General features: G+C 32.9%; 1 protein-coding gene across 28 annotated transcripts in view, besides 1 other annotated feature; it reads left to right on the forward strand.

The window, feature by feature from the left end:
* RELCH (RAB11 binding and LisH domain, coiled-coil and HEAT repeat containing) overlaps nt 1–20466 on the forward strand; it is a 122995-nt gene that overhangs the window by 26050 nt on the left and 76479 nt on the right. For 15 of the 28 annotated variants that reach the window (NR_144407.2, NR_144405.2, NR_144412.2 and 12 more), the window contains exons 3-10: nt 7733–7804; nt 7915–7970; nt 8080–8193; nt 13985–14188; nt 14294–14385; nt 15001–15294; nt 17890–17965; nt 19028–19123. Coding sequence is in view for 17 of the 28 variants with exons in the window: in NM_001346229.2 (NP_001333158.1) it covers nt 7733–7804; nt 7915–7970; nt 8080–8193; nt 13985–14188; nt 14294–14385; nt 15001–15294; nt 17890–17965; nt 19028–19123 (1004 nt within the window). In the remaining 11 variants the exon portion in view is untranslated. Of the gene's footprint in view, nt 1–7732; nt 7805–7914; nt 7971–8079; nt 8194–13984; nt 14189–14293; nt 14386–15000; nt 15295–17889; nt 17966–19027; nt 19124–19272; nt 19297–20466 lie in introns of all 28 variants that reach the window. The other 13 variants (NR_144408.2, NR_144403.2, NR_144409.2 and 10 more) reach the window with 1 other exon arrangement.
* Nucleotides 14142–14311: an enhancer, noted in NCBI's record as "experimental_48887 CRE fragment used in MPRA reporter constructs". NCBI's record gives its function as "activates a minimal promoter by MPRAs in K562 erythroleukemia cells, with activity observed for both the introgressed and non-introgressed 18:59894764 variant alleles {active_cell/tissue: K562}" and the evidence as "EXISTENCE:reporter gene assay evidence [ECO:0000049][PMID:34662402]".

The following is a 20466-nucleotide window of genomic DNA, read 5'->3' on the forward strand; positions in this document are numbered from 1 at the left end:
AATTTCCTTATTAAAACTTATATTTTAGATTGAGTAAAATTGAAGAGGTTTATTATTATTTTCATTATTTAGATATTTTAGTACTTCTAATTAGGGGGAAACTGACATAAACGCAAAATGTTTAGCATAAATTTATGATCATTAGGCCGGGCGCTGTGGCTCACGCCTGTAATCCCAGCACTTGGGAGGCAGAGGCGGGTCGATCACCTGAGGTCAGGAGTTCGAGACCAGCCTGACCAATATGGTGAAACCCCATCTCTACTAAAAATACAAAAATTAGCTGGGCATGGTTGCGTGTGCCTGCAGTCCCAGCTACTCAGGAGGCTGAGACAGGAGAATTGCTTGAATCCAGGAGGTGGAGGTTGCAGTGAGCCAAGATTATACCTCTGCACTCCAGCCTGGGTGACAGAGTGAGACTCAGTCTCAAAAAAAAAAAAAAAAAAAAAGATCATTAATTGTTTGGTATAATCTCTATTTATGTCAATATAGGTAGAAGAGAAGAAGAAAATAGAAGTTCCTCTGACCAAATTTCACTGTGTACATAACGTTTTCTTTCCCTGTGTAACTTTTTATTAGAAGGCAGAGTAAAAAGGTTCATATTCTCTGTCTGACCTAAATGCTTTTTGAGAGACAATGAGCAAAGGGTAGTGGACCTGGATAAGCCTCAGATTTGCACAACTAGGAGTGAAATATATTAAATATGTGATAGTTTTGGCCTGTTTTTTTTTTAATTTGAGACTATCATAAGACAGCAGACCTTACATTTTTAACCTATAGAATATACTATTTCTCTTAAGTTTGGAGAAATAAAATAACCTTTAATTGCTGTACTGTGCTCATATATAAATAAATGCTGTGATTCATGTTCAATAGGAAAAGGAGGAAGAAGAGCATATATAATCCCAAGAGAATATCTTTCAGTCTTTTAGTGCTCATGTACCATGGCTTGTTATTGAACCAAATGTGTGTGTAGATGAAACTTTTTTTAAAAAAATTTCAATTAATCATAATTCCTATTTCCAAAAAGATTGTGACTCTTTGCTTTTACTTGAAAAGCCTATCAAAAGGCCAGTAATTGGGAAAAGATAATTGTCTTTCATCTGCCATTGAATTACACGTAAACCTCATTAACTCCTCATGGTTTGGAGTCTTGTGCCTGCAGCTCTCCCAGGCTACTCCTGCAAGCTGGTAGCTCTGCAGTTCTGGGTCGCAGAAGTGGTCCTACTCCCACAGCTCCTCTTGACATTGCTCTGATGGAGACTCTGTGGCAGCTCTGACCCTGCAGTAGGTTTCTGCCTGGGCCCCCAGGCTTCCCAATACATTGTTTGAAATCTAGGTGCAGGCTGCCATGACCCCATAGCTCATACACTCTGCATGTCTACAGAGTCAGCACCACAAGGAAGCTGCCAAAGCTTACTGCTTGCACCCTCTGGAGCTGCACCACAAGCCTCACTTGGACCTGCTGGAGCCATAGATGGAGTGGCCAAGGAGTACTGCACCAGAATGCAGGGAGCAGAGTTTTGAGGGGACTTTGAGCAGTAAAACCATGGAGGGCACTCTGGTCCTGCCTCCCAAAACTACTCTACCCCCCTAGAACTCTGGGCCTGTGATAGGAGGGACAGCCTGAAAGAGCTCTGCAATGGCTTCAAGGTCTTTCTCCCATTGTCTTGATGTCTTACCTGGCTTCCTTCTACTCATATCCTTATCAAATGGCCACTTACCACACCCTTGGTTTGTTCTCTGAACATACGTTTTCAATCTTTACATGGACAGGCTGCAGATTTTTCAAATCTTTCCACTCTTTTAATTGTAAATTCCATCTCCCAATGATTTAATTTTGAAGCTTCTGTGACTTAAAGTGTTAGAATTTCTCATTTGAATCTACCCAAATTGGCAGAAGCTCTGAAATAAGCTTCTGTAGGATAACAGAATAAACTGTGTCTGTTACTATGATATGAGGCAAAAAGAAGAAGAATAAAGAGACATCTAAGAACAAACATCTGTATTATTTTCCTATAGCAATGCTGGGTAGAAGGAGCTTGTGGATAACACACTAATGAGTCTGTTTACCCACCTGGCAAATGAAGGGTCTCCTCTAACCCTTAATCAGCTGTTAATTTATGAGACAGATACTAGATTTGTTTTCGGCAGCATTCTTACCACCTTTCTCCTAGATTTAAAAGTCTGGTTATTTTTTCACATCTGCACACATATTCCTTCAAAGAGGAAGGGATCTCTAAAGGAACAAATGTTTATTAAGTACCTACTTCATGCCAGGCACTATGCTAGGTGCTTTATATAAAATATTTTATTTAATCTTGTTAGGAATGCTGCAAAATAGGTCATTTTTAGGTTTATAGTTTCTATAAGCCTAGAAAACTAATGCTTATACCAAGGTTGAGAAATTTGCCCAGTAGCTTCCATATAGTAAGGGGCATGATCAGGATGTATCACATAGAGGTTTTATTCCAGAGCCCACAATAGATCTTTTAGTACCAGGCTGTAGTTCTGACCCATCTGTATATTCATGTGGATAGCATATTCTTGTCTTTCTTATATGAAACTATTTCACAGAGCCATTTTCTTAGAAAAGTAAAATTTTAAAAACTTTTTTAGATATTTTCCATTTCTCAATTTAGTTTTCATATGAAGCATACATTTTTATATAAAATGATTTAAGTAGTAGCAGACACCAAACCAATGAGTTTAATATAGGTGATTTTTCATTTTAAGTAAAAGCCTTTCTCTATGTTATTAAACAAAACTACTGTACTTAGTGCATATACAATGTACCTCTTCAATTTTCTAGTTTTTTTAAAGGTAACAAGAGATATCTGTATTCTAAATATCGAGATAGCCATTATTTAACTTATTTTAGGCATTTCAAGCATCTGCTACGTGTTAGGTACTATGTGTTAGGTTTCTATGTAGACATACAAGATAGATAACGTTTCTGCTCTTCAGGAATTTGTCTGAAATATGTCTATATCTGTCATAACAGATACAAGTTCAGTACGTTGGAAATGGTAATAGAGACCTTGTTGATTTTAGAACCCCCCTATATTCCTGTTTCAGGTTCACAAGATCCATCTTTTAGCATCAGATATGTTCTCATATCTCTATTACTGAATTACTTCTCTAGTTCACACCTTAACTCTGTTTTGAGATCTGGAGAACTAGAACTATGCTTTCTGATTTGTAGGGAAAGACATTCCTGAATGCTGGTAAGATCAGTTAATGTTTCAGATTTATCACATGTCACATCAAGTATCGGAATGTCCATTCATACTCAGCAAGTATTTGCTGAGTGCCCTCTCTATAGTTCAAGCATTATGCTACTCTTGGAACAACGGTCAATAGTACAGACATATGAAGCCTTTAGGAAGCTTACATAATCTAGTAGACATTCTAAAATGGTCTTTAGATTTTTGCTGTAGGATCACCTGTCCCTGTCCCCTGGATTAGAAGTAGGCTTCTCATTTCTTAGGTAATGGCCTGGCAGCATCCATATCCAGCTTTATCAGGATTAAATAAGCCTATTTGGCTTCTAATTTTGTTTCTCCCTAGGTACAGATAAATCTTTTCCTTCCTATTAGCAGTACATTTTGATTTTCTTGATTTAAACCATATCTAAATCTTATTTCATAATTTTGTCAGATTTAAAATAGGATAGGTGCTCCAACAAGGCTGTAAAGAAGATAAATAGCATTTTGAAAATAGATTTCTTGTTATTCGTCACCATGAAATTAAAATAGGCTCAGAGAGGAAAAAAAGAATACATCATTGTGGTGGGTGGTTATATTTAATCTAAAAATAAAAGTGATTATATGTTCATTAAATTTTAGTGGGCTGGAGAAGGAGGGTTTTATCTTTAGATTAACATTGCTAAAAGTGTATTTCATGAGAATGTTCATTTCATAGGGAAAAAACAAAAGTGGGAAAAAAGAAAAAGAGTTTCATGGTTAGATAAGTTTAGAAAATCATGGTTTTCTGTATGATTTTTCAGTCTTTAGGGTTTTAGGTTATTGTAGTAATTTATATATTAAGTCATAAAGGTCTGAACTATGACAATTGCAGAGACAGTGTAGATGAATGGTTATTTCAGGAGTTATTAAAGGTTGGAATCAGTATGGCTTAAACATTTAATTAGTGTGAGAGTAAGGGCAAGGAATAAGTGAATAGTCATCTTCAGGTTTCCCATTTGGCCAACTGGGTCAATAATGGTGCCATTATTGGAGAGACTGCAGGAGAACCACATTTGAAAGGAAGATGATGAAATCCATAGATAATATTGAACTAGTAATTTATGAGACATTCAAGTGGGCATGTCCAGGAGATAACTGGGTAGGTCGGTGTCTTGTGAAAAGATTTTTTAAATTTCGGAGTCTTCAGAGTACTTGTGAAACTTAAAACCACCAGAGTGAAAGTCATTCCAGTGAAGTGTGTAAATTAAGAAAATGTCTAAGGATGATACATGGATAAACACCAACTTTGAGATGAGTGATAGAGGAACTCAAGCAGAAAGAACAATAGTGGGAAGAATTTTTTTTAAGGCTGTGGGAAAGAGGATGCTTTGTTCCCACCAAGTTGAATATAGAAAAACAAGTATCTACAAACTATGGAGATTGCATCTTGCTTTCACTTATTTATTGCTAAGTCATGCCTAACAGTACTAAGTTTCTCAAGTCTATAATTGGCAGGGAGAATTTTCTAAACCTAGTAAAGGTGATGATAGTACTGCCTTAGGACTTTTGTATTATTTTAGGGACGGGTTTTTATTCTAACTCATATTCTTATGAAAATTGAAAAGAGAATTTTTTCTTTTCTTACAACTGTTCTGGGATACTAAAATAAGTATTAAAGACGGGAAAGTGTTATTTCAAATCACCTTATAGTCAGGAAAAAAATTCCAGAAAATTCTGACTTGAAAGAAGACAATTTTACATAGCAAAATAGATGACTCAGACCTATTGATTGGAACTCATCAATAATGAACTAGAATGGGAATGAAAAAATACTTCTTCAGACCAGTGTTATGGAAAAGATCTTTTAAAATACAGCAATATTTTGAGTGTGGGCCAAAAAGAACTAAGTCTAGCAAGCATTTCAAGATAATATTAGTGATGAATTGAGTTGGACAACAAAGTATTGATATTTTATTTCTACTTTGAAATTTCACATTCCACCTTTGGTGTCTCCACATAGTTGTACATCTCATAAGTCATGAAAGCATAATCTTTAAGCACTCAAGTGCCTCTAATATACTACAGTATTATCCAGTGCAGTTTGAGAAATAACTGTTTCAACTAATCTGGAGTTGCTTATACTGACTTTTAAGTGTTAACTATTTTGGTAAGATTATAATATGCGATGTTAATATACATCTACATCTTTGCAGTTATTACTTTAGTTCTAGTAAAATTGTATTCAGCAGAGTTGGACTATGAGCCACTTGGTTGGTCATTCCTGCAGCATTTTTAATAAACATACATATCCTCAAATATTTTTAGGAAGGATTACAATATTTGAAAAATATTTGCAAGGTTGTTCCGCACAATGTCTCTCTTTACAGGATAATTAATTTTTAGCTTTAATCTAATGCTAATAAAGAAGATACATTCATATATCTGTAAATACAACATTGCTATTAACCTTTCTTTTGAAACTTTCTCATGTAACTGCAATTACTTGATCATATTATGCCTTTATAGAAATGTACTATAGATTCAAACATACGCCTTTGTCTTTTAAAGTCTATATTGTATATTAAGAAACATGCAGCAGAGTGAATTCATATTGATAAGTATTATCTTTTCAAAGTATTGGTAAATTCTAATGACATTTGGCAATATATATGTAGATGTGCATAAAAATATAAATTCTTGCCGTCTGACATGGGTTTTTCTGGCTTTCTGTGCCTTAATCATTCAGTGTTTTACTCTTGGTCACCTAAACTTTCACCAATTGCATTTTGAGTTTTTTCCCAGTTTGTGTTTTAACCAGTTTTTTTTTCTTTTTTTCTTTTTTTTTTTTTTTTCATATTTCTATCATTCTGGCGTAGGGCACTTCTGATCTGCAATTGTTCTGTAATGTCTTAGAAAATTTTAAGTGATATCAAAAGCATGATATATATATTTATTTAAGATACAGTTAGATATTTTTAAATCAAAATCAATTGCCTAGAGTTTTAAAATGTAAAAAAAAAAAAAAAGTAAACCAACATGCTGTGTAAACCTATTCTGTACTTACCTTACACACTGAATGTGTCCAGTCTTACTTCAATGCAACTCTAAGAGTTTCCGGAAGTGTAAATGTTAAGGAAAATGTTTAACTTTGTTGCACAGAAGTATTTGCAGATCAGCATTGCTGACTACCAAAAAACATAAAGTAACATACGATGTCATCTGATTTTTAGTGGTGCTTCCATGTTGCTGCAGTTAAATTCTGTGCATCAAAATAATTGGCCTTTGTGTACTAGATGTGATTCAATTACATCTTGTTTTTATTGAAAATGTGCAAACTGAGTGAATCCTAATTTTTCCATATATTTTTATAGCTGTGGCTCTGATAACATCTCATTTGGCATCTTTTTTATGTGTATTAGTCAGTTAGGAAAAAATTGCATCTTTAAGATGAAACCTTCAGTTCCAGTTTTTATGCAGAATGATTTAACTACTGTAATTTCTTAATATTCATTTGTGGCAAAGATCACTTAATTTTCCCAGAGCTTTACTTCTCAGAAATATATTTTTTCTCAAGTCTAACATTTTAAAGAGCTTATTAAAATGTTTCCTCAATATTCATATTTATGTCATAATCACACTCTGTGATAATAGGAGAAATCCTGAGTTTCACTAGTACCTCTTAACATGAACAAATCTATTAGAAGAGTTATCAGAAACTTTGAAATTCTACTTAATCCTACTCAGTATCCTTAGAAAACTATACTTTTAGAAATGTACACATTCATTTGCTATAGAATTATCTTAATTAGGAATTAAAAGTGAAACTGTTTCTATCCTGTGGCTCTAAATGAAAAATAAAACCCTTGGGGTTTTGGATTTTTTTTTTTTTTTTTTGATATGTGTTTGATGTATCTGTGTTTGTTTTTAGAAAACATACTCTTGTTTGTAGAAAAATGTATAGGCATCACGACATTTGTTAAATATTGAAACCATATTCCTTCAACATCCTAATGAAGGGAACTATTCACTAACGTCTCTATACGTTGATTTATAACATTATTCTAGATAATGCATTTTAAGTTAACTTTTGTAAAAAAAAAATCCTAAGTTTTTCTTTTTAAGAATATTTGCTTGGGCTTCATCTAATTTTTACCTTATCCCCTGAAATTATGTCACCTGCACACATCCATTACATTTCTTACCTAGACTGAATAAAGCAGAAGTACCCAGATTATTAATATTTTTATTTATCTAAATGAGAGTATGCCATAGATTTTATTTTTAAATAGAGCTATTCCTTGTCAGACAGCTAGAACATTTGATAATAACCCCCTGAATTCTACTAAAACTATGGAAAACATTCACCAGTTTGCTTGCAAATCAACTCTGCTGCATGCGTTCACAAGTTTCATAAAGATTGCATGCTTTCTGTTTTCAATACAAATTGTATTTTTTTTTCATACCCATCCTTGCTTTTTATTTTTTAATTTTTGTTTCCCTTTTCTTGGTTGGATGCCTGTGTGTGTTTATTCCAAATCCCTGTCCAGTCCTGGAGTTTGAACTACGGAAAGCCAAGGAGACCATTCAGGCCCTCCGAGCCAACCTGACAAAGGCCGCAGGTGGTGTACATAAAACTTTTTTGAGACTTTTCAACTTTGACAATGTAGAAGTAGCTGAGATATTTTAAAATGTAAAATAGTAAAATAGTACTTATGTTTTTTTCCACCAGAACATGAAGTTCCTTTACAGGAACGAAAAAATTACAAATCAAGTCCTGAAATTCAGGTGGGTGACAGAAGACAAATGTAAAATTAATCTTCCACATTAAATGGTAACATAAATATTGAAGGAGGAATACTTATGATTTCCTGTTTGCCTCTTATTTTGCTTCCAGGAGCCAATCAAACCTCTTGAAAAGAGAGCTCTAAACTTCTTAGTCAATGAATTTTTATTGAAGAATAACTATAAGCTTACATCAATAACCTTTTCAGATGAAAACGATGATCAGGTAAAGTTACTTTTTGTTTTTACAGTGATTTTTTTCTACACTTATAATTCACTTTTTCTTTTACGTAGTTTCTTTTTTTTTTTTTTTAAGTTATATATATAGTAAAATTCTACAAGGCTAGTTACTAGAACAGCAGTCTCTTGCCTGAAGCTAATTCTATTAGCTTACAGACTTTATTCTTTCCCTGTTGCTTTCTACATAAAGACTTTTCATTCTTTCTAGATTCCTTTTTACTACTCCTCAGTGACTATATAGTCCACTCATTTTTGCATATATTCATAAAGTATGCTTTTTAAAGACATACTTTATAGTATAGGTTCTTGTGTACTTATAAATCCAGTTTAACTATAAACCTCTTCAATTCCACTGTAACAATTAAGATGTTAGATAAATATATGACAGTATTTAAGAGAGTATATTGTAAATGAGAGTGAGAAAATCAGCTGTATCTCTCTGAATAGGGGCCAATTTTAGAACTTTATTATTATTTTCCTGATAAAATCTCTTTAAGCAAAAAAGATGTCTTATTTTAGTGTCATCTCTCAAATGGAATATTTTGACTTCTTAGTGCTAATGGATTGGTTTGAATCTTACACCTTAAAAAAGTAAATGCCAGTGAATTTATTATTTAGGAATCTGAAGGCCATCATTTTAAATCAAGATTATTCTGTTGGTTCATAAAATCTCCTATAGATCCTTTAGCAAAAATAGAAATTTTCTGAGTAAGATAGTTCAGTTAACCCCTCAGTTATTAGAATATATTTGGCAAAATTAAATGCAATAAGTATCTAGTTATTTTTTATTCAATGGTAGTGTCACTGAACATGTGCTATGTAAGAGACATTAAACTAATATTTAACATGAGTATTATACAATGCTATACTATGGTTATAGTTTAGGTTAATCATGTTTTTTAAATGATCGACTAAACAGTGAATAGGAAAGATTTTGAATATGTGAGAAACATTGAGAGGTCAAAAAGAACACAGAAAAAGAGGAAAAGAGGAGCAAAAAATAGATGGAATACATAGAAAACAGATAATAAAATGGTTAGATTAAAACCTAGCTCTATCAGTATTCACTGTAAGTGTAAATGATTAGTCCTTCTCGAATAAAAATCAGAAATTAGAGATGTCAACAATGCTCTCTCAATAATTAATAGAACAAGTCAACAGAAAATCTTTTAGGATATAGAAGGCTTGTGCTATGTTATCAACCAATGGGCATAATTACAATTTTATAAAAATGCTTCATCCTTCAACAGTGAATACATACTCTTTAAATTCAAATGGTTCACTTACAAAGTTAGACCATATTATGGGTTATAAAACAAGTCTTAAGATGGTGAAATTAACTAGCAATTAGTAACAAAGTTATTTCCAAATAACGCATGAGTTAAAAAAGAAAAGGGAAATTATGAAGTATTTTGAACTGAGTGAAGATGAAAACAAAACATATCAAAATTTGTGGGATATAACTAAAATAGCACTTAGAGGGAAATTCATAGCACTAAATGTCTATACAAGGAAAGAAAAAAATTCAAATCAGTGAAATCAGGCTCTGCCTTAAGAAACTAAAAAAAGAAAACCAAGTGAAACCCAAAGTAAGTAGAAGAAAGGAAATGATAAAGATGATAGCATAAGTCAATGACACAGGCAGCAGAAAACAATAGAGAAAAATTAATGAAACAAACAAGTAGTCCTTTGAGAAGATCAGTAAAATTGATAAACCTCTAGCCTAACTGATTAGGAAAAAGAGAGAAGATACAAATAACCAAAATCAACAATGAGCAAGGTTACATCACTACAGATTTTACTTATATTAGAAGAATAATAAAAGAATGTTATGAATAACTTTTCTTGTAAGAAGACAACTGCCAAAGCACACTCAAGAAGAAATAGATTATTTGAAGGGCTTTATATTTATTAAAGAAATAAAATTTGTACTTAAAAATACTACTACCAAGAAAACTCCAGGTCTGGATGGCTTCACTTGCAAATTTGACCAAACATTGGAGGAAGAAGTAATACAAACTCTTCTAGAAATTAAAGATAAGGGAATACTTCCAAACTCATTCAATGAGACCAGCATACTTCTGATATCAAAACCAGACAAAGACACTGCAAACAAATAAAATTACAGGCTCATTTCCTTTATTAATATAGATATAGAAATTATACATAACATTTTAGCAAATCAAATTAAACAGAATGTTAAAAGGACAATTCATTATGACCAAATGAGGTTTATCTCAGGAATATAAGGTTGAGTTCATATCCAAAAATCAGTCATTGTAATTGATCATATTAAAAAGAAAATCAAATAATCATCTGAGAAGATGCAGAAAAGGCATTTGACTCAATCCAACATCCATTCTCTTTTAAAACTTTAAAGAAATTAGAAATAGAGAGTCATTTCCCCAACTGATAGAGGACATTTATAGAAAACCTATCACTAACATCATTCTTTTTCTTTTTTTTTATTATTATACTTTAAGTTCTAGGGTACATGTGCACAACGTGCAGGTTTGATACATAGGTATACATGTGCCATGTTGGTTTGCTGCACCCATCACCTCGTCATTTACATTAGGCATTTCTCCTAACGCTATCCCTCCCCCAGCCCCTCATGCCCCAACAGGCCCTGGTGTGTGATGTTCCTCACCATGTGTCCAAGTGATCTAATTGTTCAATTCCCACCTGTGAATGAGAACATGCAGTGCTTGGTTTTCTGTCCTTGTGATAGTTTGCTGAGAATGATGGTTTCCAGCTTCATCCATGTCCCTGCAAAGGACATGAACTCATCTTTTTTACGGCTGCATAGTATCCCACACTAACATCATTCTTAATGATGAAAGATGAAGATGGAAACAAGAACATTTATTCTCACTACTTCTATTCAGCATCATACTGAAGATTCTAGCTAGTGCAATAAGGCAAGAAAAAGTAATTCAAGCACACATTTTGGAAAGGAAGAAATAACAGTCCTTATTCACCAATGACATGATCATGTGTATAGAAAATCCTATAGACTCTCCAAAAACGGTACAAAAACTAAGTGATTTTAGCAAGGTTGTAGGAAACAAGGTAAGTATACAAAAACCTATCATATGTTAGCAACAACCAATTGGAAATCAAATTTTTAAAATATCATGTTCAATAGTATTAAAAAATAGGAAATAACTTAGGAATAAATCTGACAGCTTCTACACTGAAAGCTACTTAACATTGAGATAAATTAAAGAGATTTAAATGAAGAGATATTGTGCTCATGGATCAGAAGACCCAATATTGTCAAGGTAACAATTTTGATTTGTATTTTCAATGAAATCTAAATCTCACTTCTTACTGGCATTTTTGTGGAAAGTAATGATTTTTTTCTAAAATTCATATGAAAAGGAAACAGCCAAAACAACTTTAATAAAGAAGAACAAATTTGGAGGACCTAAACTACCTGGCTTCAAGTCTTAAAAGATATTATAGTAAAGATATTATTTGTCATATTTGTATATAGACAAATAAATTGATGAAACAGAATAGAATCCAGAGATGGACTTCCACATAGATGATCTGTTGAATTCTGACAAAATGCAAAATACCTTCCATGCAGAAAGGGTAGTCTTTTTTTTACAAATGGTAATGGAACCATTTGCCTAAACAAAATAAACATCAAACCATACCATATACAAAAATTAACTCAAAATGGAGCATATACTTAAATATAGATCCTAAAAAGCTGTAAGGCTTCTAGAGGAAAACAGGAAAAAAAAAATCACTGCAGGCTTGGAAGATAGGCAAAACATTTATTAGATATGACACAAAAAGCATGATGTTCTCTGTCAGATTTGCTCTCATCAAAATTAATAACTTCTGCTGTTTGGAAGCCACTTTTAAGTGAATGAGAAGACCGAGAGGGTGAAAATATTGCAAGTAACATATCTAATAAAGGAGTTATATCCAAAATTTATAAAGAGCTCTCTAAACTTAATAATAGAAAATTAATCTATTTTTTAAAAGAATGCACAAAAATTTTAAACAGGTGCTTCACTAAGGAAGTTATATGGATGGAAAATAAGCACGTGAAAAAGATTCTCAACATTTGTATTCATTAGAGAAATGCAAATTCAATCACATTGAGATACCACAACACGTTAATTAGAATGTTTACCTATGAAGTTTTGGCAAGGATATGGAGCAACTAGAAATTATTTCTAGTTCTAAGCTCAAGGTAGATACATCTTAAATTTTGGTTGAATGATAGATAGATGGACATTTGAATTATGTGTAATGTTCATTTAATAAGTTTTTTTTTTTTAAGTTAAAAGTTGTTTAGTTCTTGTGGGCCAAGCACTGTGTTAAGGCTTTTATATACATTTAATTTATCCTTACAAAAACCCTAAGAGATAATAAATATTTTACTCATTTTACAGATGACCAGTTTAAGCCTCCCTCAAATTAATTTGTAACAGTGATAGTGGAGAAAGATACAAATTTCATACTTCCTCTGGTTTTCTCTAAAGCCCCCACTTGTAATACTCATATCTACCTCGATTTAGTCCTCAATAATAGCTATCTCATCATTCAAATAAACCGTCAAAGGATTAAGAATATCACATTTAGAATGTTCAAATTAATATGCCAATTTCTTAGAGGTTCTCATAGGTTATAATCTATCAAATTAGTACTAAATTATGATATATTAAAGGAAGATAGAATGGTGAGACAGTGTATTTACGTGCAATTGATTACTCAGCAATTTTATGAAGCTCTTCTAAAGATCTTTCTCTACAGAATGCTTAAGTTGCTGTGCTTTTTTGTACTTTTAATAAAACTGTTGCAGTTAATAAAACTGTTGAACACGTTTTAATACACAACAAATTGAAGAGTAGCTATTTGGATTCTGAAAATTGCCAGAAGTATTTGTAATAATATGAATTATATTCAAACATTTACAGCAAGAAGACATGCAGATTAAATTGTTTCCCTACCCATTAGAGATTACACTAATATGTATTAAGTTGGAGTAATAAAAGAAGAACAAAATTAATGATTTGAGTTTACTTATAACCTATAAATAATAGGTACAATTTATGTACTGAGACTTCCTTAATCTAAACATGTTTTATGATGTCATGCAAATATTTGAGCATGTTTTATGAGCTTAAAGTTAATATAAAACAAAGTAAAGAGAGTTTATATTTTTAAGAGATATAATAAAAAAATTGTGTAACATTTTGATACCTAAGACAATTAAACCTATTGATCTAGAAGGTCAGGAAACTTACAAGAATAATATTGGATACTGGAAAGTGTAAAATAAATGTAAGAATGTTATTTACTAACTTGGAACATACACTTTGATATTATAACAAAATTATGATTATGTTGGGTTTTCAATATATTCACAGAGGCTGGCTGTGGTGGCTCACACCTGTAATCTCAACACTTTGGGAGGCCAAGGTGGGAGGATTGCTTAAAGCCAGGTGTTTGAGACCATCCTAGGCAACAAAGCAAGACCCCATCTCTACAAAAAAAAATTTTTTTTGATTGGTTCGGCACAGTGGCGGGTGCTTGTAGTTCCAGCTACTTGGGAGGCTGAGGTGGGAGGCTCGCTTCAGCCCAGGAGTTTGAGGCTACAGTGAGCCATCTATGATTGTGCCACTGTACTCCAGCCTGCATGACACAGCAAAACCGATCTTAAAAAAAAAAAAGATATTAGCAATAATATGAATTTCAAAAATGTAAGATAAAATTTCCTCGAAGATTTTTTATGTTTTTTTTTTATCTTTTAGGATTTTGAATTATGGGATGATGTAGGATTAAACATTCCAAAACCTCCAGACTTATTGCAACTCTACCGGGATTTTGGAAATCATCAAGTAACTGGAAAAGATCTTGTAGATGTGGCCAGTGGAGTAGAAGAAGATGAATTAGAGGCCCTTACACCAATTATAAGCAACCTTCCTCCAACTCTTGAAACTCCCCAGCCTGCAGAGGTGAGAGATAGCAACTAATTAGTCAAGTCCACAGAAAGTATTTAAACTATGTAAAAGCGTACAGTGAGATCTTGAGTTTCTGTTTTTCTCCTGTTTTGATTTTAGAACTCCATGTTAGTACAGAAATTAGAAGATAAAATTAGTTTGTTAAATAGTGAGAAATGGTCATTGATGGAGCAAATCAGAAGACTTAAAAGGTTAGTACTTGATCATTATTCCTAAAAATCCTCTTAAGGTGTTTAAAAGTATTGGCAAGTTATGCAAATATATGAAACAATATTCCAGTTGCAAGGCATAATTGCTTCACATTTTAATACTTCTGAAAGAAAGTTTTGTAATTGTTTAATGTATTTAAAATAGTAATAGGTTTTTTTTCCCAAAACAAGTTACTAAATCAATATGGTGATCTTACAATCAATTATGTCTTGGAACTAAGAAATAAGATATTTTGATTTCTCCCTCATATTAGTGTTGTACATATTTCCTGTTCATTATTCCATTTAGTTCTTGTAATAATCCTGTGGGTTTGAGGAAGTTATCCCACTTTGCAAATGAATAAAAGAAATTTAAGTGCCAATCAAAAGCAGGGTTTTTAAGGCCATTTTTATGCTTCATTCTTGAGTTTATAGCTACAGTTTTAGGTATATGAAGCATCAGTGAATATTGCATAAAAAAGATTTATTACTTGCCAATCATTTGCTACTAATACTTTTAAATATGCTTTTAAAACATTAAACCCATTATGAGATTTATGCTAGTTTTCAAAAATACAGTTGTCCTCTGGTGATTTCTCTTAATTTCTCTTTCTACAGTGAAATGGACTTCCTCAAAAATGAACACTTTGCCATCCCAGCAGTTTGTGACTCTGTTCAGCCTCCTTTGGATCAGTTGCCCCACAAAGACTCTGAGGACAGTGGACAGCATCCAGATGTAAATAGTTCAGACAAGGGAAAAAACACAGACATCCATCTTTCAATATCAGATGAAGCTGATTCCACTATTCCTAAAGAGAATTCCCCAAATTCATTCCCCAGGAGAGAAAGAGAAGGAATGCCACCTTCTTCTCTATCAAGTAAAAAGACAGTTCATTTTGATAAACCTAATAGGTTAGTATGCATCCTATATTTTGAAATGCATCTTTCAGCTATTTAGTACATGTCAAACGGGAAGAGCTACTGTTTTTATTTAAACCGCTTTTTTGCAGATCAAATATATTAATTTTTATATTTGACATGAACTTAACACATAGCAAAGTAGTTGTCACAAAAAAGTCACAAAATTATTAGTTACTAAATTAAATTAAATCAAAAAGGAATTACCCATCAATGAGCTAGGTTCTATCTTAGCTAAGTATTTAAACCCATAACTAATATGTTATTACTATGTGCTGTAAACACTTACCCAGTGCTTTTTTCTCTATCCTTTAGTCGTTATCAGACTCAGAGGAATATTTTGATGCTGCGTAGTTGCCTATGTTAAAGAAGGAATAATTTTTGCTCCTACTTTTTTTTTCCTGTGTCTGCTTCCATTACAAATATTACATCATTAGTATTCTGTTAATTCATATGTTTAATTTATATTGGGTGTCAGAACTCGCAGATGACAAAAACCATGGTCCCTGCACTTTGTGATTATGTTTCCTAGTGGAGGGGACAAAAATATAATTTTAAAACTTTTAGATTATGATTAAAAAATACTTTTAAGAAAGGAATATTACTGAGCTCTTTTTATATGTCAGACAGAATCCTCAATGCTTTATGTATACTAACTCATTTAATTCTTACAAATATCCTATGGTGCATTTTCAGCCACAAGGTCATACTTCGTTTCCTATTAAATAGAGAGATGTTATGCCTACTATGAGCATATAATAGAAAAGCACAACTAATTTGCTTCAGACTTATAGGTTCCCATTATTACTAAGAAGTATTGGATTTTTATTTAAATAAAGCTTTCCACTCATGAACCACAGCTTCTTCTGTGTATAGTAGGGGTGTGTGTGTGTGTGTGTGTGTGTGTGTGTGTGTGTCTGTCTGTCTGTCTGTCTGTGTTGGTCACAGAACTGAAACAGACATGGCCCAAACCTCAAACCTTATAGTATGAGAGAGACAGACAAGCAATAACACTAAGGTATGAAAAGTAGTATAATAAAATAAGTCCAACTTGCTTTGGGAACATGTAATCAAGGCACTAACCTAGTCTTCAGAGCAGGAAAGTTTCATAGAAGTGTCATCCAAGACTTGAAGACTATGTAAGAGTTAACAAGCAAAGAGGTAAAAGAAAGAGTGTTCCCACATGCACAAATGAAACAGTGCTTTAGGGGAACAAAGAAGGGTTTAGTGAGGCTTAAGCAAATAATGCTAGTGAAAGGAAGGATAGAAGACAAAGTTGGAGAAGTAAGCAAAGTCTAAGAAGTCATGTAAGCTTGCGTTAATTCATTTTAGAGGTTGGGACATGATGGTATCTAAGCTTTAGAAAGGGTCCTCTGAGCTAGAGGTAATTGGAAGGTAGCAAGACTGGGAGCAAGGAAACTATACGGGTATATGTTGGAAGAACCCAAGTAAGAAATGATGGAGGCCTGTTCTATATTCAGACATTGGTAATGGGAAGGGAAAGAAGTATATGGATCTGCAAGATTATTAGAAGTTAAAAGATTGAATGGATTTGGGGTGAAGATAAAGGGAAGGAAGCCAGGGACGATGGGATGTGCCTCTAATCCCAGCTACTCAGGAGGCTGAGATGGAAGGATCGCTTGAGCCCAGGAGTTCTAGACCAGCATGGGCAATACAGCAAGACCCCATCTCAAAAAAAAGGATCAAGCCTGATTTGAGGTTTCTGACTTGGGCAAGTGGAAGGATTATGGTCCCCCTCTGAGGGAATATGAGAGGAGCATAAAACAGCAAAAGGCTCAAGCTTTGATACAGTACTCTATAATCATAGAAATTACTGAGCTCCATTTTGTGGTGTATACTAAATAAGCTTTATTATCTAATTTTTGGTGTTAGCCTTTTCTTTGCAGATTTAAGACATAAAGTACAACTCATAGTCATAATTTTATGAATAATACTACATAGAGACTGGTGTTGTTTTAGAAATATAAATGTTTTAACCTCCTTTATTAAACATAAATAGGCTAATATTTTCAACTGCAAACAGAAACTTTCTTTAAAATGTATCATGAATATTGAATGAGCTGTGCCTCCGTTTATCTTTAGACTTATTGTTTGTGGTTTTCTAATATTCAGATTTATCATTAGCATTATATATATCTGCAAAGCTTTAATTCCTCTCAGCAATATACCAGGTCAACCTTTATCCACTTTACCTTTGTGTTTACCTTTCTGGGACCATAGAGAATTGGGGTTGGAGAAAGTCCTCATTTCAGATTTTCAAATCATTTCTATAGGCATTGATCTACTATACCACTTTAGGTTTGATCCACTAACTATAAATGCCATTTTTTCACATAACATCAAACTACTGCAAGAACACCAGTTACTGTTGATTTTTTTTCTCCTAAGTGACCTGTATAAGTTTCTCCAGTGAAGTGTTCTTCAAGTCACTGGTGGCTCAGAAATCTGGTTAGCTTTGTGGGGTAGGATTAATGCTGGAATGGAAGTTATAATACATAACTTAAATTTCTCCTTAAATGTCAATGGTAATTATTTGATATTGTCTCTTTTTCATACATTTTCTTCTAGGAAATTGTCTCCTGCATTCCATCAAGCACTACTCTCTTTTTGTCGAATGTCAGCAGATAGTCGTTTAGGATACGAGGTAAATTATACCACCTATTTCCACAACTTTTTAAAAACATTCTACTGTTTTTCTTCTTTTTAAGTTTCTCTTCTACAGAAGCATCTGTGATAAGACTGTATTTCAAATGCAAATCCATTATGTAAAATAATGCTCTAAGATATAGTTCCTAAAATTTTAAACTTTTAAGGAAAGTAGTTGATTATTTCTGTTTTTTCTATTAACATTTTATTAACGTTAAAGTGACATTTTATAAACTCTATTTTTAATAGTATGTTTAATGACAGCATCTCTTAGATATAATTCAGAAAACCAACTTAAGTGTACACTGTTTATATATTAATTGTTTATTTAAATTACTCTATTATTTTCATTTCATTAGGAGTGGTTATGTCCAATAGTTGAGTTTATTAGCTTGCATATTAGATTTTCTCAACTATTTTGTATTTATTTTTGCAGATTAGTCTTGAGGGGGTATTTTATTATTACTGTTTTTTCTTACCTGTGTACTCACTCCTCCTTTTCTTGCTGTTCTGTGTTTCATTTCACTTGACTTGCCATGGGCTTCTGTTCCACAATGTCATTGAGAATATCACAGAGCTAGATAGAGGATGGTTTGGATGCACTCTGGCAATCCTCATTATAAGACTGGATCACCTTCCTTAGCCTACCCCTTGTATTTCCAAGTTCTTTGTACAGATTATCACTGTAGCTAATGGTAGTAGCTTTGTGAGCATCTCTTCAAAGACAAAAACGAACATTGAGGCTGCCCTACTCCTGTGCTATTACCCCTACTTGTTCCCAGAAATGAAGCCTATTAGGCCTCCTTGGCTTCACCCTTGATTTTAATGGTATTTTAAATCTGTTTCTAGCCCAAAGAAATATGGATGTTGATTGGAGCACTGTTGCTGTTGTTGCTGCTGCTGCTGCTGTTGTTGTTGTTGTTGTTGTTGTTATCATAAGTTAAAATATTGGAATGTGTGTTTAGGGCAGAGGTATCAGGGCCTAAAGAATGAACTTTTCCATATTATTATGCACAGAAGTTCTCCACTATCATTGTTTATTAATTCTTTGGTTTTCTAGGTGTCTCGTATTGCAGACAGTGAAAAAAGCGTTATGTTAATGCTGGGACGCTGCCTGCCACACATTGTTCCCAATGTGCTATTGGCAAAGAGAGAGGTAAGACACATGAAAGTATTTTCGTCCCAGTAATCCCATCATGTTGTCCATTTTTTGTCATTTTGAAGTTGAGTGTTATATTTTTATTTTGTTAAAGTCTATTACTTGCAATCATATTCTTACTTTTGTGCATGCATCTCTGCTCCTAGAGAATGGTTTTACACCTCTGTCAGGTGAGTTCAGTAAAACTGCATGGTATTCATGTTTTTCCAATTTTGCTTAAAGCATTGTTAGCTTCTGCAGCACTAACTATTACTGTAGGTCCATTTATGTGCCATGAACACTGTCTGGTTTTTACATTACCAGTTAACTAATTATCTGTGCTCTTGGTATGATATGCTTCATATGTCAACAGAAATGGACACTCTTTGTATTGAAAATTAACAGGGATGAATAATATAAAACTAGTCAGGAGGAATAATATAACACTAGTCATAAATGTACTTGTAGTTGCCGATTATAAATGTGTTATTATGCTTGTTTGGCAATAAATCACATTTCTCTTATAATAGGATAGTTGTAATATTGACTACAACAACTTTTTAAAGTACCTTTTTTATTTTTCTTGCAGTTAACCGGTTATTGACAGATGCTTTAAGTATCCAAAATACATTTGCAAATATATTTGACTCCACATAGCCTATGTTATGATCCATAAACACTATAGGAAGTTATCTTTATTGTTGTTATTTATAAATTATTATTAAATATAGTTATATTTAGTCAAAAGATTAATGGGAAGTTATTTATAATCTCATTTAAATGACAGTGGATGTTTGCAGATAATTTAAATTATTTTATTGAACTCTTTGAGATAAAATTTTTAGATCAAAAAAATTTTATAAAGAATAAATGAAGACAATTTTAGAGTGTGTCATGTAACTTTCTATTGTTATCTTCTTAATATTTACCACTGATTCAATCATAATTTCTGGGACCTACAGTATGATAGGTACATAATGCATTGGCAAAACCCATTTAAAGCTTATTTTCAATTATCCATTTAGCACAAGAAATTTGTACTGATCCTCAAGAAAACATGTAGAGCTTTAAAATTTTTTATCCCCATAGGTATTTTTAATAAAAACAATTAAAAAGATGGTTTTCCACTGATGGCTTTATTTTTACCTAATTATTTTAAAATAGTCATAAGATATTAATAAGTATGGAAAGTCTTATATGTCTTGAAGGATCAGTGTCCAATTTCAGATTGTTTTGCAGTTCTGCTTGGCAGAATGGTGTTTGAGCTTCTTTTCCTTTTTTAGCTTGTAACATAATCCATGTAATGCATTAATGTTTGCATCCCTTTTACTGTATTTCCTTAATATCATCTTTAGAGTGTT

The sequence above is a fragment of the Homo sapiens genome, chromosome 18 (assembly GCF_000001405.40).
Source record: "Homo sapiens chromosome 18, GRCh38.p14 Primary Assembly".
In the NCBI taxonomy this organism is placed as follows: Eukaryota; Metazoa; Chordata; class Mammalia; order Primates; family Hominidae; genus Homo; species Homo sapiens.